The following is a 15056-nucleotide window of genomic DNA, read 5'->3' as shown; positions in this document are numbered from 1 at the left end:
AAAACATGTTGATCTAATCAGATCTGACAAGTCAATCAAGACAATTTCAAATTATCAAGAAGACTCTGAGGAGTGAATTTTCATCCACTATCGTCAACTGTAGCAATGGACCCTGCCTGGAGATTGACACCATTATGATTAGTAATTTGAAAATATTATATATTTCATTTTGATCTCTTTCAATTTTCCTAATTTGTATGTATTTATTGTAACATACAAAATATATTAATGTAGTAATACTTAAAGTAATACTTAAAGTGTAATATATAACCATGGTACATGCTCAAAAAATCGTGTGTACACCATCAGAATGTTGAAGTCCTCAGGTCAATACTACACTACAGCCTCCACGCTGGTCTGGTGTCTCAAGCCATGCCCCTTTCCCTGTGCCCAACACCAGCCCTGGCATGGCTTCCTCCATGACCCAAACCCAAACTTGTCTCGCTGCTGTTTACTATTCGGACCTCAGACTGAAGCCAAACTTCGTATGCAGCCCAGTGAGTCTGCCACCCGCTGCTTCCCTCTTTATTTTTATTTATTACTATTATTTTTTTCAGACAGAGTCCCACTCTGTCACCCAGGGTGGAGTGCAGTGGCATGTTCTCAGCTCAGCAACCTCTGCCTCCTGGGTTCAAGCAATTCTCCTCCCTCAGCTTCCCAAGCAGCTGGGACTACAGGCACGTGCCACCACATCCGGCTAATTTTTGTATTTTTAGTAGAGACAGGGTTTTACCATGTTGGCCAGGCTGGTCTCGAACTCCTGACCTCAGGTGATCTGCCTGCCTTGGTCTCCCAAAGTGTTTGGGATTACAGGCATGAGTCACCACACCCAGTCCCTGCTCTCCTCTTTGTTTTTTTGTTGTTCTTGTTGTTGTTTTTGTTGTTTGGTTTTTTGAGATGAAGTCTCACTCTGGCGCCCAGGCTGGAGTGTAATGGCCTCCCAAGTAGCTCGGATTATAGACGTGTGCCACCACACCCAGCCAGTTTTTATAATTTTAGTAGAGATGCGGTTTTGCCATGTTGGCCAGGCTGGTCTCGAACTCCTAACCTCAGGTGATTCTCCAGCCTTGGCCTCCCAATGTGCCGGGATTACAGGCGTGAGCCACGTCGCCCGGCCCTTTGTTTCCCCTTTTAGGCTCCAGGGCAATGCAATGTTAAGCCCAGGCTCAGTCTGCTCTATTGTGTGTGCACGCCATGGCACCCACTGTGCCCTCACTTGGATGACCCTCCTTTGTCCCACAGGTAATTCCTACTGAGCCTTCAAGACCTGGCTGGGCAGTCACCTCCCTCCCCTGACACCATCGTCTCCCCTGCCTGGGTTGTGGACCCTCCTCTGAGCTTCCGTATAAAGTGAGTTTCTGAGGACATTTTGTACCTACGTTAGTAGCACGGTGCAGGGGTAAAGAACATGGACCCTAGAGTCAATCTACAGGGTTGGAATAGTGGCTGCTAACCTACTGGGTTATATGACAAAGACTCAAGCCCACTGTAAAATGGGGCCATGATGCATAATGGTTAAGTGTAAGGAAACTAAATCCAGGGTGGCTAAATTTAAATACGCTGTGCTATTGCTAGCTGAGCGACCGTGGGCAAATTACTCAACATCCATATGCCTAGTTTCCTCATATGAAAAACGAAGATCATAATAGTACCCACCTCATTGGGTTATTGTGAGGGTTCAATGTAAAGCATGTAGAATAGTGCCTGGTACATAGTAAGTGCTCATAAATATCAGCTCTAATCATCATGAGTCTGGATCCCACATTGGATGTCATACATGGTTGAATGAATGGAATGCATTGAATTGTATTGGATTGAAATGAATTAGAGTAAATTGAAGTGAATTAAAATTGTGCCAGCTCTTGTTTGTCTGTCACTGAAGGCTCCTCTCTGGGCCAGCACCTTAAATGGTATAAGGGCTTCCCTCCCTAAGTCCTACTTGTCACTGCCATGGCCCCCAGGATGACTTCTCTTTGCTTCCAGTTAACTAGCCGTTCATATCAACCTAGGAACAAGCAAGGACTCAACCAGGCTCAAGCTTCAACTTTGTCTCAGGGACATTCTTCAAGGAGGCCCTGTCTATTATCAACAACCTATCAGCCCACTGAGATGCCTGAAACTCATTTCAATATTTTTAAAAAAGCAAAGTCACACCATTGTGGACATCTGTCTTATTTACAGTTGTCTCATCACAGTCTGGGAATATTTTTAGCTGAATATAAAATAACCATCATCCTACCCTCCCCTTCAGCCATACCTTCTGGTTCTGGATTTATAGACAGCATGCAGACTTCCCAGCCCCTAAGTGAGAAGAAAGCTGGGGTCGGTGGGGGTGGGGGTGGGGGGTAGCAACAGGCTGAAGCTTCCAAAAGAAAACTAGTATAGATATGAGCAAGAGAGCTGGGCACAGTGCTTCACGCCTGTAATTCCAGCACTTTGGGAGACTGAGGCTGGAGGATCGCTTGTGTCCAGGAGTTTGAGACCAGTCTGGGAAACACAGGGAGACCCACATCTCTACCAAAAAAAAAAAAAAAAAAAATTAGCCAGGCATGGTGGTGCCCTCCTGTGGTCCCAGCTTCTTGGGAGGCTGAGGTGGGAAGATTGCTTGAGACTAGGAGGTCAAGGCTGCAGTGAACCATGATCATGCCACTGCACTTCAGCCTGGGCAACAGAGTGAGACCCTGCCTCAAAAAGAAATAAGAAATGAGCGAGAGGCCACAAAAAGGAAACAAAAACCAAAAACCCAACAACATGAAATTGCTTGCATAAGATAGCTGCACTTGTATCCCCTAAATCTATAAAAATAAAAAAATTCCTTGCCACTGAGGAGAGAGAAGGGGAAGCAGAGAAGCAGAGAATTATGAAGACCATTTGGTAGAGGGAATTTGAGGAACACCAAAGAGGATGCCTCTCACTGTGCTGAAAAATCAAGGCAGGCTTCACAGAAGAGGGCATGCCCAGGCTGCTTCTAAAGGAAAGCTTACATTGTTGGCTGAATTTCGGTGCAATCTACGGAAGAAGATGGGGGAATCTTTTTCCTTGGGATTTTGTAGAAAGGAACATCTGTGCCCCTGGAGAACCACAGGCCTCCCCCGCCCCTGCCCCTGCTATTTGCTCCTGTGACCACTTTTCCAATGAACTCTCACCTTGATAGGATGCCACGAGCCCCTTTTGATCCTCTAAGGAAGCGTCATAGTGGGTAAAAAAATAGAAGAGGAGAATGAGAGCTGCTTCCAGTGTTAGGGCCCAGAGGGGCAGGCAGCGCCGGACAGACCGCGGGTACTTAGAGCTCATCCTGTGTCCGTCTCTGTGCAGGGGTTCCACCAGCACCAGGCATCACCCCTCTCTCCAACACCTACTTGAGGGCTTGAGGGAGCGATAGGGGAGACACCCGCCAAAGGCCTTATCTCAGGCTGCAAGGCTGGTTGTGCTGGCCTCTCTATGGAGTTAACACGGAAGCAGAGGGACTATGATGGGGAGGGGAGGAAATGTATGTTTTCCAATATTGTCATTCATTCAACAAGTTGCTGTGTTCCTGTTACAGGTTCCTGCTGTGCTCAGTTTGAAAGAGGGCATTCTATTCCTTTGACACCCAAACATAATCCTTCTTTACTCTGTACTTCAGTCATCTTCAGCATATCCTTGTAAGAAAAGCAAGGAATGGATCAATACTCCTATTTTATGAATAAGGAAACTGAAGCTCAGAAGAGGCTTTCTTTTTAAAACCTTACTACATGACAGAGAGGGCACCCAGTGAGCTCTTAACAACAATGTATTGAATGAGAATGAATGAAAGCAAAGAATGGAGCTGAGCCCTGGGGAGGATACAGATAGGACCCACGTAGAACTGACTCCTCATAGTTACACAGTTGAAATTACTTACATTTGAATTTGTATTTAAATCTATGTGTTTCTAAGCATTTTAAGGGGGGGTGGCAGAAGAGAAAGGAGATGTGGGTTTGGCTCTAGTAAAAACCTGGAGGGGATCCTGATCCAGCCTTAGGGTGAAGTTGCTCTACCTCTGGTCACCTCCTCACAGGGCAGCCCAGGACTCTGCCTGGGGCACTACAGTGCATTTGAGGAAGGCCACCAGCCTCAGCATCCCCATCCCTCAGTACTGGACAGTCCAGTCCCCTGGCATGAGCTTTAGGGGGCTTGGGACTTAGTTCTAACCCTGCAGCCAACTTCCCCTGTGCTCCCATCCATGTGCCTGGCAGAAGGTCTGGTACATGGTAAGTGTCGAGGAAGGAAGGAAGAGAGAGAGGGATGTAGAGAGGGAGGAAGAGATGAAAGAGGAAGAAAAGAAGGAAGGAATTGGAGTTTCCTTATTTTCTACAATGGTCCCAGCCACTGGCCACTGAGTGTAAACTGAATGTGTGGAGCCCCAGAGAATAAAGCCAGGGCCAGGAGCTGCAGGGAGGTGGAAAGTGGATACTTTATTGACCATTACAGTTGTCCACTGAAATACTCATGAGGTAGTGAGCACCCTGTCACTAGAGGAATGCAGAAATGTCTTGAAAACAATTCCTATGTAGATCAGAGGAGATTTTAATCACCCAGTCGAATCCTGTCATTTTGTTTTTAGACCAAGAAACCAAGACCCAGAGAGGTCATACCTAAGGTCATCTAGTCACTTGGCATCAGTCACTTCTTGCTCAGTGCAGCTTTATTTACAGAAGGAAAAAACTGAGACTAACCTAAATGTCCACTAGCAGGGGGTTGGTTAAGAAAACTACAGGACATGAAACTTGCTACCAATATGATGGTTCTGAACATATGCAGGAAAAGCAAGAGGAAAACGCTTTTATCAAAACTGACACAGAGGATAGACTGTTTAGTGAAAAAGCAAGTTATATAACAGCATGTACAATATATTCCCACTCTTATAAAATAATATGTTAGCACACGCATAGAAAAAAGTTGGCTGCAAACCACTAAAACATTGGTTAATTTTGCTTTATACATTTTCAGAGCTAACTGTTATTAAGTACTTGCTAGGCACCATTCTAAGTACTTTACATATATGAACTTAGTTCATGACACTGGGATGGGTACTATTAGGATTTATTACAAATGAGTGAACTGAGGCACAGAAAAACTAAGTGACTTGCTCAAGGTCACAGGGCTAGTAAGCAGTAGAGCTGGGATTTAAACCCAGGCAGCCTAACTTCAGGACCTGGGTGTTTGACCACTTAACTGTAGCCTAGATCAGGGGTCCCCAAGCTTTTTGGCACCAGGGACGGGTTTTGTAAAAGACAATTTTTCCATGGACCGGGGTGAGGTTGGAGGGATGGTTTGGGGATGAAACTGTTCCACCTCAGATCATCAGGCATTAGTTAGATTCTCCTAAGGAGCACGCAACCTAGATCCCTCTCATGCGCGGTTCCCAATAGGGTTTGTGCCCCTATGAGAATCTAATGCCGCTGCTGATCTGACAGGAGGCGGAGCTCAGGCGGTAGTGCTCGCTGGCCTATCCCTCATGCTGTGCGGTCAGGTTCCTAACGGGCCACAGCCTGGGGGTTGGGGACCCCCAGCCTAGATTACTTCTAAGTCTTCTTCCAATTCTAAAAGTCTAGGAACATGGGCTTCTAAGCCCTCTGCTACCCCAACAGCAATTAAGGGGGAGGGTACCCCAATCCCCAGAGGTCAGAAGTCTCCATTCCTCTCACAATTGCCTCCTGGTTCTCATTTCTGCTCTATTTCTGGCAGTCAGTACTTCTTATAAACTGGGTTTCCTGAGAAGGAACTCCTCTGCGCAGTGGGATAAATGGATGTGACCTCTGCTAACCTGGGCCCAGTACAAGCTCTGTAAACCAGGCAGCCAACTGCACCTACCTGCCCGAGGGCACCAGATGTCAGCAAGATGAACACTAAAGATGTCCAGGCAATGCCAACCCCCGGACCTGATGGGCATGTTTACCAGCTGGCAAACGGCGTGGGTGGTGGTTGGTTCCAAGGCACTCCAAATCCCTGTGCGTCCTGATCCTGCCCCAGTAAGGAAGCAGCAGGGACTGACTGCTTGACAAGAGGATCCCGCTCCTCGCAGAACAGAAATGCTTTCATTAAAAAAGGGAGGTATCCCTGCAGTTGGCCTCTCCCAACAGATTTGTCAAAAGCAGAGGTTTTGCTCTTCCCCTCTGACTCTTATAAAAGGCCCCATTTTCTGACTACATTTCCTGATATTCTGTCTTTAAATCTTCAAGGCAGGTCACCTGCTACAGAAAGCACAAGGGATCTAGGATAGATAAGTCAAAAACCAAATACAGTAAAATGTTAATTGTTGATTCTAGCTGTGAGATGTATGGCTTTTCACTGTACAAGTCTTTCAACTTTTTTTGGTAGATGTTTGAAATTTTTCATAATAAAATGCTGGGAAAAAAGCACTCTGTGCACCTGCTGTTCTCTCTGTCTGAAACACTCCTCCTACCAGATACAGATGGCCTCCGACGTACGATGGTTTGACTTAACGCTTTTCAACTTTATGATGGCGCGAAAGCAACACACATGCAGTGGAAGCCGCGCTTAGAGTTCCCATCCCACCACTCCGTCTTTCACTTTCCGTACAGTACTCAGTACATTACATGAGATATTCAATACTTTATCATAAAATAGGCTTTGTGTTAGAGGATTTTGCCCAACTGTAGGCTAATGTAAGTGTTCTAAGCATGTTTAAGGTAGGTGAGACTAAGCTATGATGTTCCGTAGGTTAGATGTATTAAATGCATTTTTGACTTACAATATTTCCTACTTACCATGGCTTTATCAGGACATAACCCCATCGAAAGTCAAGGAACAACTGTACTGGCTTGCTCCCCACCTCACCTCCCTGGATCCTCCACCATCCCCTTCTCAGGAAAGTTTTCCCTGACTGCCCTATTTTTTTTTTTTTTTTTGAGATGAAGTTTTGCTCTTGTTGCCTAGGCTGGACTGCAATGGCACAATCTCGGCTCACTGCAACCTCCACCTCCCAGGTTCAAGTGATTCTCCCGCCTCAGCCTCCCGAGTAGCTGGGATTATAGGCGCGTGATACCACACCCGGCTAGTTTTTGTTTTTTTAGTAGAGACAGGATTTCACCAGGTTGGCCAGGCTGGTCTTGAACTCCTGACCTCAAGTGATCCACCCACCTCAACCTCCCAAAGTGCTGGGATTATAGGTGTGAACCACTGTGCCCGGCCTCTGACTGCCCTATTTAAAAGGACAGCATCAACTCCCCTTTCTTCTCCCCTTGACAAGGGTTCCTTGTGTTCCCCTTTTAGTTTCCTTCACAGCACTTACTAGCATCTGACGAGGTCTATATTTTTACTTGTGTATTTAGGTTTTTTTTTTAGACGGAGTACTCTGTCACCCAGGCTGGAATGCAGTGGCACGATCTTGGCTCATTGCAACTTCTGCCTTTTAGGTTCAAGCGATTCTCCTTCCTCAGCCTCCCAAGTAGCTGGGACTACAGGCATGAGCCACCACACCGCGCTAATTTTTGTATTTTTAGTAGTGACAGGGTTTCACCACGTTGGCTAGTCTGGTCTCGAACTCCTGACCTCAGGTGACTTGCCCACCTTGGCCTCGCAAAGTACTGGGATTACAGGCGTGAGCCACTGCGCCCGGCCGTGTATTTGTTCATTATTTGCTTTCCCCTATGAGAATCTGAGCAACATGAAGACAGGGACTTTTGACTGCTGTGGTTGCTGTTGTATCCTCAGCACCAGGGAAGTCCATAGTAGGTGCTCAATAAATATTTGTTGGCTGAATAACAGCTACCATTTCTGGAATGCCAATCACGGACCCAATCATTTTGCATATGTTATTTCATCGGATCTTCAGACACCCGGATGCAGCAGTACCACCCCCGCGGCTCAGTCGCGCATGCGGACACGGGGCGGAGGGCGGGGCGCCGGGTCCGGAGGGAGCCACGCCCACCACAACAACGCGTCTGCGCATGCCCGGGCGCTGGGTTCAGGGGCTTTCCGCCGCTCTGGGTTCACAGCTGGACGTCGGGAGTGCTAGTTTGGAGTACGCCATTTGAGAGTAGGCGTGAGAAGTTGCTCTGTGTGCTGAGCGTTCTAAAGGAAGGCGTCCGTTGGCCTTCGTACCCGTCTTGATTGAGGTGACGAGTGTTTTCTAGTACTGGGGTCGGCCGCGCAGCCCTCTCAGGGGTGGGTGGCAGGAAGCGTGCCGGGTCCCGCGTGGTGCAAAAGGTGGGTTCAGGTTTGCGGCCACACAGCGCTACTCAGGACTTTTTAGTCTTGTTTATTTTCTCCGTGCCTGTTCCCGCCCCCCGCAGCTCCACCTCTGGGAGAGGGGCGGGTTCAGCTCCAGGAGGCGGGGACTTCCCGGCTTGGCGTGGCTGGGGTGTCCCGTGGACCCCAGTCTCGGCGCGGTGACCCACTTATGGGACTTGGCTTTTCTTTGTTGTTTGTTTAAGGCAGGGTTTCTCAGCCTGGGCACTACTGAGGTTTTGGGCCGGCTAATTCTGTCTGGGTTGGGGAGGGTGCTGTCCCGTGCTTCGCAGGTTGTGTAGCTGCATCCCCCGCCTCTACCCAGTGGATGCAAGTAGCAGCCCCAGTGAACCAAAAATGCCCCCAGACTTTGCCAAATATCCCCTCCCGGGGAAGATCGCCTCGCTTGAGAACCACTGTTGGAGGAGAGCCTGGGTTTTCGGGAGGTAACCGTTTACAAAGGGGAGAACGGTAAGAAGCCGGAAGCAACGATGACTTAGCTACGTGAAAGACTTGCGGCCGGGCTCGCCCCTCTTCTAGAAGCCGTCAGTTTGGGTCTCGCGTCTGGAATCACCGTCAAGGAGTCAGATCCAGCCCCGGAGAGGGAGCAGGGTCGAGGTCTCCTTGCAGAAGGCGCCACCGCAGGAAGCACAGGCGCAACGTGCAGTCTCCCTAGCGGAGGCGCTCGCGATCCTGCAGCCGCCGGTCCGGGAGGTGCTCGGTAGCCCTCCTTGGTGCCTGTCCGGTAGCTGGTCACTCTCGGGGGAAGGTCGTGTGCAGAAGGGCACATGCGATCACACAGAGACGGCGTTGCTGCGGCTTTGACCCGATGGTGCACCCGAAAGAACACAGAGGGTGGAGGGGGAGATCCAGGAAGTGGTCGCGGAGCAGAACCCCCTTTCACTTCAGTCAAAAATGTGGGTCAATTGTCATTAAGAGATACGCACAGGTTCATCTGATTGACATGTACGGCGGCAGTATATGAGTGAGATGGGAACCAAGGTGACTGTTGTTTCCTTTGATGGATGAAACTTTCATCCCTTTGGGGTTTTTTGTTTTTGGCGGGATATTAGCCGATTAGTAGATAAAACTGCATGATACAATCTATAGCCTGTTTTTAAATGGACAAGTTCTTACCACTCAGGAGGTTTATCGTGATTGTTTAATGTCTCAGGGTGGAGGAATCTAGTGCAGGCAGTTCTTAATGAAACCTTTTAAATTCCCGTTAGTGACTTAACATTAGTTTACCAGCTCTGAGCAGCTTTAAACAAACATCCTCTTTTAATAGCTAATGAGTGCGGGAGAAAAGATACTAACTCCTTTCTCTTTGCGTTTTTTGCCCCTACCCTTTTTTCTCTTTTGTGGCCTTAACATGATTGTCAAATATTTATAAATAGGAGTGAGCATCTTTATATTACTCTTACTAATAAGATACATGCTTAATTTGTCATTCTTTACCTTTTTGGGACTTAATGAATGTTTGTCTTTTGCAGATAAAATGGAGCTGCTAGAAATAGCAAAAGCCAGCCACCCATATTAACCCCTCCATTTTCCCTATAATTAATGGCTTTCATTATTGTGGTATATTTGTTACAATTACTGGACTAATATGATACATTATTATTAACTGACATCCACATTTTATTCAGATTTCTTTAGTTTTTTGCCTAATGTCTTTTTCTGTTCCAGGATCCCCTCCAGAATACCACATTACAGTTAATTGTTATGTCTCCTTAGTCTCCCCTTGGCTGTGTCAGTTTCACATACTTTCTTTGTTTTTGATGATATAGATGTGAAGAGTACTAGCCAGGAATATTATAGGTATTGGGTTTTTTAAATGTATGTGTCATTTCATGATTAAAAATCAGTTGCGGCCAGGTGTGGTGGCTCAGCACTTTGGGAGGCTAAGGTGGGAGGATTGCTTGAGGCCAGGAGTTCAAGACCAGCCTGGCCAATGTGGCAAAATCCCATCTCTGCTAAAAATACAAAAAATATAGCTGGGCACGGTGGCACACACCTGTAATCCCAACTACTCGGGAGGCTGAAGCACAAGGATTGTTTGAACCTGGGAGGTGGAGGTTGTAGTGAGCCAAGATTGTGCCACTGCATTCTAGTCTAGGCAACAGGTGAGACTCTGTCTCAAAAAAAAAAAACAAGTGTGGATTACAGTATCTGTTGGGCCTACTATCGTAAAACACATACACATGCATGTGCACACACAAACCTCCAGGCTATCACTTCAGTGCCAGCCAGCAGCATTTCTTACTCTAACCACTGCAACTGTGTCCCTGCTTCATCTTGGGGCTTCATTCTCATATATTTTCTTCACACAGCAGCCACAGAGAAGCTTTTACAATGTAAACCAGAGTCTATTACTTCTGTTCTCCAACTACTTCAGTGGCTAAATTGGTACCAGTAGAGTGGGGTGCTGCCGTAGATACTCAAAAATGGGTATGTGACTTTGGAACTGGGTAACAGGCAGGGTTTGGAACAGTTTGGAGGGCTCAGAAGAAGACAGGCAAATGTGGGAAAGTTTGGAACTTCCTAGAGACTTGTTGAATGGCTTTGCCCAAAATGCTGATAGCACTGTGGACAATAAAGTCCATAGGCTGAGGTGGTCTCAGACGGAAATGAGGAACTTGTTGGGAACTGGAGCAAAGGGGACTCTTGTTATGTTTTAGCAAAGATACTGGCGGCATTTTGCCCCTGCACGAGATATTTGTAGAACTTTGAACTTCAGAGAGATGATTTAGAGTATCTGGCAGGAGAAATTTCTAAGCAGCAAAGCATTCAAGAGGTGACTTGGGTGCTGTTAAAGACATTCAGTTTTATAAGGGAAGCAGAGCATAAAAGTTCGGAAAATTTGCAGCCTGACAATGTGATAGAAAAGAAAAATTCCCATTTTCTGAGGAGAAATTCAAGCTGGCTGCAGAAATTTGCATGAGTAACAGGAGCCAAATGCTAATTCCCAAGACAATGGGGAAAATGTCTCCAGGGCATGTCAGAGGTCTTTATGGCAACCCCTCCCATCACAGGTCCAGAGGTATCAGGAAAAAATGGTTTTGTTGGCCAGGCCCGGGGTCCTCATGCTGTGTGCAGCCTAGGGACTTGGTGCCCTGCATCCCAGCCACTCCCAACCATGACTGACGGGAGGCAAGGTAGAGCTTGGGCTGTAGCTTCGGGGAGTGCAAGCCCCAAGCCTTGACAGCTTCCATGTGGTGTTGAGACTGCGAGTGCACAGAAGTCAAGAATTGGGGTTTGGAAACCTTCGCCTAGATTAAAGAGGATGTGCGGAAATGCCTGGATGCCCAGTCAGAAGTTTGCTGCAGGAGCAGGGCCCTCATGGAGATCCTCTGCCAGGGCAGTGCAGAAGGGAAATGTGGGGTCAGAGACCCCACACACAGTCCCTACTGGGGCACCACCTAGTGGAGCTGTGAGAAGAGGTCCTCCAGACCCCAGAATGGTAGATCCACCGACAGCTTGCACCGTGTACCTGGAAAAGCTGCAGACACTCAATGCCAGCCCATGAAAGCAGCTGAGAGGGAGGCTGTACCCTGCAAAGGTACAGGGGCAGAGCTGCCCAAGACCATGGGAACCCACCCCTTCCATCTGCGTGACCTGGATGTGAGATGTGGAGTCAAAGGAGATCATTTTGGAGCTTTAAGATTTGACTGCCCCACTGGATTTTGGACTCTCATGGGCCTGTAGCCTCTTTGTTTTGACCAATTTATCCCATTTGGAATGGCTGTATTTACCCAATGCCTGTACCCCCATTGTATCTAGGAAGTAACTAACTTGCTTTGGATTTTATAGGCTCATAAATGGAAAGGACTTGCCTTGTCTCAGATGAGACATTAGACTGTGGACTTTTGAGTTAATGCTGAAATCATTTAAGACTTTGAGGGACTGTTGGGATGGTGTGATTGGTTTTGAAATGTGAGGACATGAAATTTGGGAGGGGCCATGGGTGGAATGATAGGGTTTGGTTGTGTCCCCACCCAAATCTCATCCTGAATTCCCATGCGTTGTGGGAGGGACCCAGTGGGAGGTAACTGAATCATGGGGACAGGTCTTACCCGTGCTGTTCTTGTGATAGTGAATAAGTCTAACAGGATCTGATGGCTCTATAAGGGGGAGTTTCTCTGCACAAGCTGTCTTTGTCTTTGCCTGCCATCCACGTAAGACGTGACTTGCTCCTCATTGCCTTTCGCCATGATTGTGAGGCCTCCCCAGCCATGTGGAACTGTAAGTCCATTAAACCTCTCTTTCTTTTGTAAATTGCCTAGTCTCGGGTTTGTGAACAGACTAATACAATGGCTTTTCACCTTGCAGAATAAAGTCCTACGAGATCTTCATGCTCTAGCTCCTGGCCAGGCCACCTCCTCAGGAGTTAGATCACTTATCCGTCTCTCCCTGGCCCACCCTTCTCTGTCACATGGCTTCTTTGCTGACCCTGATACACACCACACTTGTCTTCTCTACCTGGAAGTTGTATTCCCCATACCCACATGGCTCACTTCTTCACTTCATTCAAGTCTCTGCTCAGATATTAACCTCTTCAGAGAGCCCTTCCTTCACACACTGTCTTGCATAGCAGCCTCCCCTACAAGTTGTCTTCTTTCTCCTTAACTTTTGTGATGGTTAATTTTAGGTGTCAGCTTGACTGGATTAAAGAATACCTAGAGAACTGGAAAGGCATTATTTGTTAGTGTGTCTGTGAGGGTATTTCCAGAAGAGATTGATATATGACTGAATGGACTAAGAGGGAACCATCCGCCCTCAATGTGCAGGTGGCTTGAAACAAAAACGGAAGAAAGGCAAATTGGTCTTACTCTCTTGGAGCTGGAATACACGCTTCCATTCCTGCCCTTGGATTTCAGGATCCCAGGCTGTTGGGTCTCAGGACTCCAGGACCTACATCAGCCTTTCCGTCACCGCTGGGGTTCTAAGGCCTTTGGGCTAAGAATTATATCATCAGCTTTCCTGATTCTGAGGCTTTGGGACTTGGACTGAGCCATGCTACCAGTATCCCTGGGTCTCCAGCTTGCAGACAATCTGCTGTGGGACTTCTCAGCCTCTGTAATCATGTGAGCCCTTTCTAACTCATAAACCCTCTTTTATATATCTATGTATCCGATTGGCTGTGTCTCTTTGGCGAACCCTGACTACGTATACTTTTGTTTGAATTCAAAGTATTTATCCCTACCTGATATTACATCCTATATCTGTTTGTTTTCTGTTTCTTCCATTAGAATACAAGTTTCATGAGGACAGGGACTTTATCCATTTGTTTACTGCTGTATCTTAGGCTCAAAGTTGGCACTCAATAAATATTGGTTAAATAAGTGAATTACAAGCAGGTTGGATTATTAGGTAATATGGTTCGCAGTGTGGGACTCCTGAACTCCAAGATGTCTTTGAAAGTAGCCATTTTTTAAATTTCTAATGGTTTAGTCAGACTACAGATTACTTAATAACAGGGACTATAGTTGATTCATGGATATATCCCCAGAATCAGGAACAGTTTCTAGAATACACTTGAGTGCTCAATAGACATAGCTATTATAGTTAATTGAAATGGAATTGGCAATGTGGGAAATAAGAAATCACATTTTTGGCCAGGCACAGTGGCTCACACCTGTAATCCCAGCACTTTGGGAGGCCGAGGCAGGAGGATCACTTGAGGTCAGGAGTTCGGGACCATCCTGGCCAACATGGTGAAACCCCATTTCTACTAAAAATACAAAAAGTAGCTAGGTGTGGTGGCGTGTGCCTGTGATCCCAGCTACACGGGAGGCAGAGGTGGGAGAATCGCTTGAACATGGTAGACAGAGGTTGCAGTGAGCCAAAATCATAACACTGCACTCCAGGCTGGGCAACACAGCAAGACTCCATCTCAAAAAAAAAAAAAAAAAAAAAAAATCTGCTGGGCGCGGTGGCTCATGCCTGTAATCCCAGCACTTTGGGAGGCTGAGGCAGGTGGATCACGAGGTCAGGAGATTGAGACCATCCTGGCTAACATGGTGAAACCCCGTCTCTACTAAAAATACAAAAAATTAGCTGGGCAGGGTGGCGGGCGCCTGTAGGCCCAGCTACTCGGGAGACTGAGGCAAGAGAATGGCGTGAACCTGGGAGGCGGAGATTGCAGTGAGCCGAGATTGCACCACTGCACTCCAGCCTGGGTGACAGAGTGAGACTCTGTCTCAAAAAAAAAAAAAAAAGAAAGAAATCACATTTTTCTCAGAGCAAAGTCTTTGTGATAGTAAATCTGGATAAAGGCAGTGGAACACTGAGGACATTTATGCATAAGGACAGTAATCACGAAATTATCTTTGTATATATTGTCCGTTAATGACTACTGCTATTTACTGAATTGATCTCCCTCAGATTCATATTTTGAAGCCCTAACCCCTAAAGTGACTATATTTGGAAATAGGTGCTTTAAAGAAATAATAGTTAAGGTCAAATGAGGTCATGAGGGTGGAGCCCTAATCTAATAGGACTGGTGTCCTTATAAGAAGAGAAAGAGGCCGGGTGCGGTGGCTCACGCCTGTAATCCTAGCACTTTGGGAGGCCGAGGCAGGCAGATGACAAGGTCAGGAGTTGGAGACCAGCCTGGCCAATATGGTGAAACCCTGTCTCTACTAAAAATACAAAAATTAGCCAGACATGATGGCGGGCACCTGTAGTCCCAGCTACTCGGGAGGCTGAGGCAGGAGAATTGCTTGAACCTGGGAGGCAGAGGTTGCAGTGAGCCGAGATCGATCGGGCCACTGCACTCCAGCCTGGGCGATAGAGCGAGACTCTGTCTCAAAAAAAAAAAAAAAAGGAAGATGACACCA

General features: G+C 47.0%; 2 protein-coding genes and 1 long non-coding RNA gene across 15 annotated transcripts in view, besides 4 other annotated features; 2 read left to right on the top strand and 1 right to left on the bottom strand.

The window, feature by feature from the left end:
• The window catches only part of RHD (Rh blood group D antigen), a 57960-nt gene extending 54604 nt beyond the window's left edge, over positions 1-3356 (bottom strand). For 5 of the 9 annotated variants that reach the window (NM_001282872.1, NM_001282870.1, NM_001282868.1 and 2 more), the window contains 1 exon segment: positions 3147-3356. In NM_001282872.1, coding sequence (NP_001269801.1) covers positions 3147-3294 — 148 coding nt within the window. In that variant the 5' untranslated portion in view covers positions 3295-3356. 9 annotated transcript variants of the gene reach the window in all.
• Positions 1-15056, top strand: part of RSRP1 (arginine and serine rich protein 1) — a 96006-nt gene that overhangs the window by 62413 nt on the left and 18537 nt on the right. The window contains exon 1 of one of the 5 annotated variants that reach the window (NR_135777.2): positions 7917-8102. The exons of the other annotated variants lie outside the window; for them this stretch is intronic. The gene's annotated coding sequence lies outside the window, so the exon portion shown is untranslated. Of the gene's footprint in view, positions 1-7916; positions 8103-15056 lie in introns of those variants that run through there. 5 annotated transcript variants of the gene reach the window in all.
• LOC105376882 (uncharacterized) lies at positions 1218-6383 on the top strand. The gene is made up of 2 exons (XR_947099.3): positions 1218-1350; positions 5710-6383. It is a non-coding gene; the product is annotated as an uncharacterized LOC105376882 (long non-coding RNA).
• Positions 7817-15056: part of a meiotic recombination region, noted in NCBI's record as "upstream Rhesus box that can recombine with the homologous downstream Rhesus box", that runs on past the window's edge. NCBI's record gives the evidence for it as "EXISTENCE:nucleotide sequencing assay evidence [ECO:0000219][PMID:10845894, PMID:15752150]".
• Positions 8591-9108: an enhancer, noted in NCBI's record as "H3K27ac hESC enhancer chr1:25593225-25593742 (GRCh37/hg19 assembly coordinates)". NCBI's record gives its function as "activates a minimal SCP1, AML or CMV promoter by ChIP-STARR-seq in naive H9 embryonic stem cells {active_cell/tissue: H9 hESC(naive)}" and the evidence as "EXISTENCE:reporter gene assay evidence [ECO:0000049][PMID:30033119]".
• Positions 9795-11257: a sequence comparison, noted in NCBI's record as "sequence_comparison; region almost identical to the corresponding region of the downstream Rhesus box". NCBI's record gives the evidence for it as "EXISTENCE:sequence similarity evidence [ECO:0000044][PMID:10845894, PMID:15752150]".
• Positions 10356-11257: a chromosome breakpoint, noted in NCBI's record as "breakpoint region for unequal crossing-over between the upstream and downstream Rhesus boxes to result in a single-hybrid Rhesus box with a deletion of the RHD gene". NCBI's record gives the evidence for it as "EXISTENCE:nucleotide sequencing assay evidence [ECO:0000219][PMID:10845894, PMID:15752150]".

The sequence above is a fragment of the Homo sapiens genome, chromosome 1, assembly GCF_000001405.40.
Source record: "Homo sapiens chromosome 1, GRCh38.p14 Primary Assembly".
Taxonomy (NCBI): Eukaryota; Metazoa; Chordata; class Mammalia; order Primates; family Hominidae; genus Homo; species Homo sapiens.
This window is presented reverse-complemented; position numbering and strand designations above follow the sequence as displayed.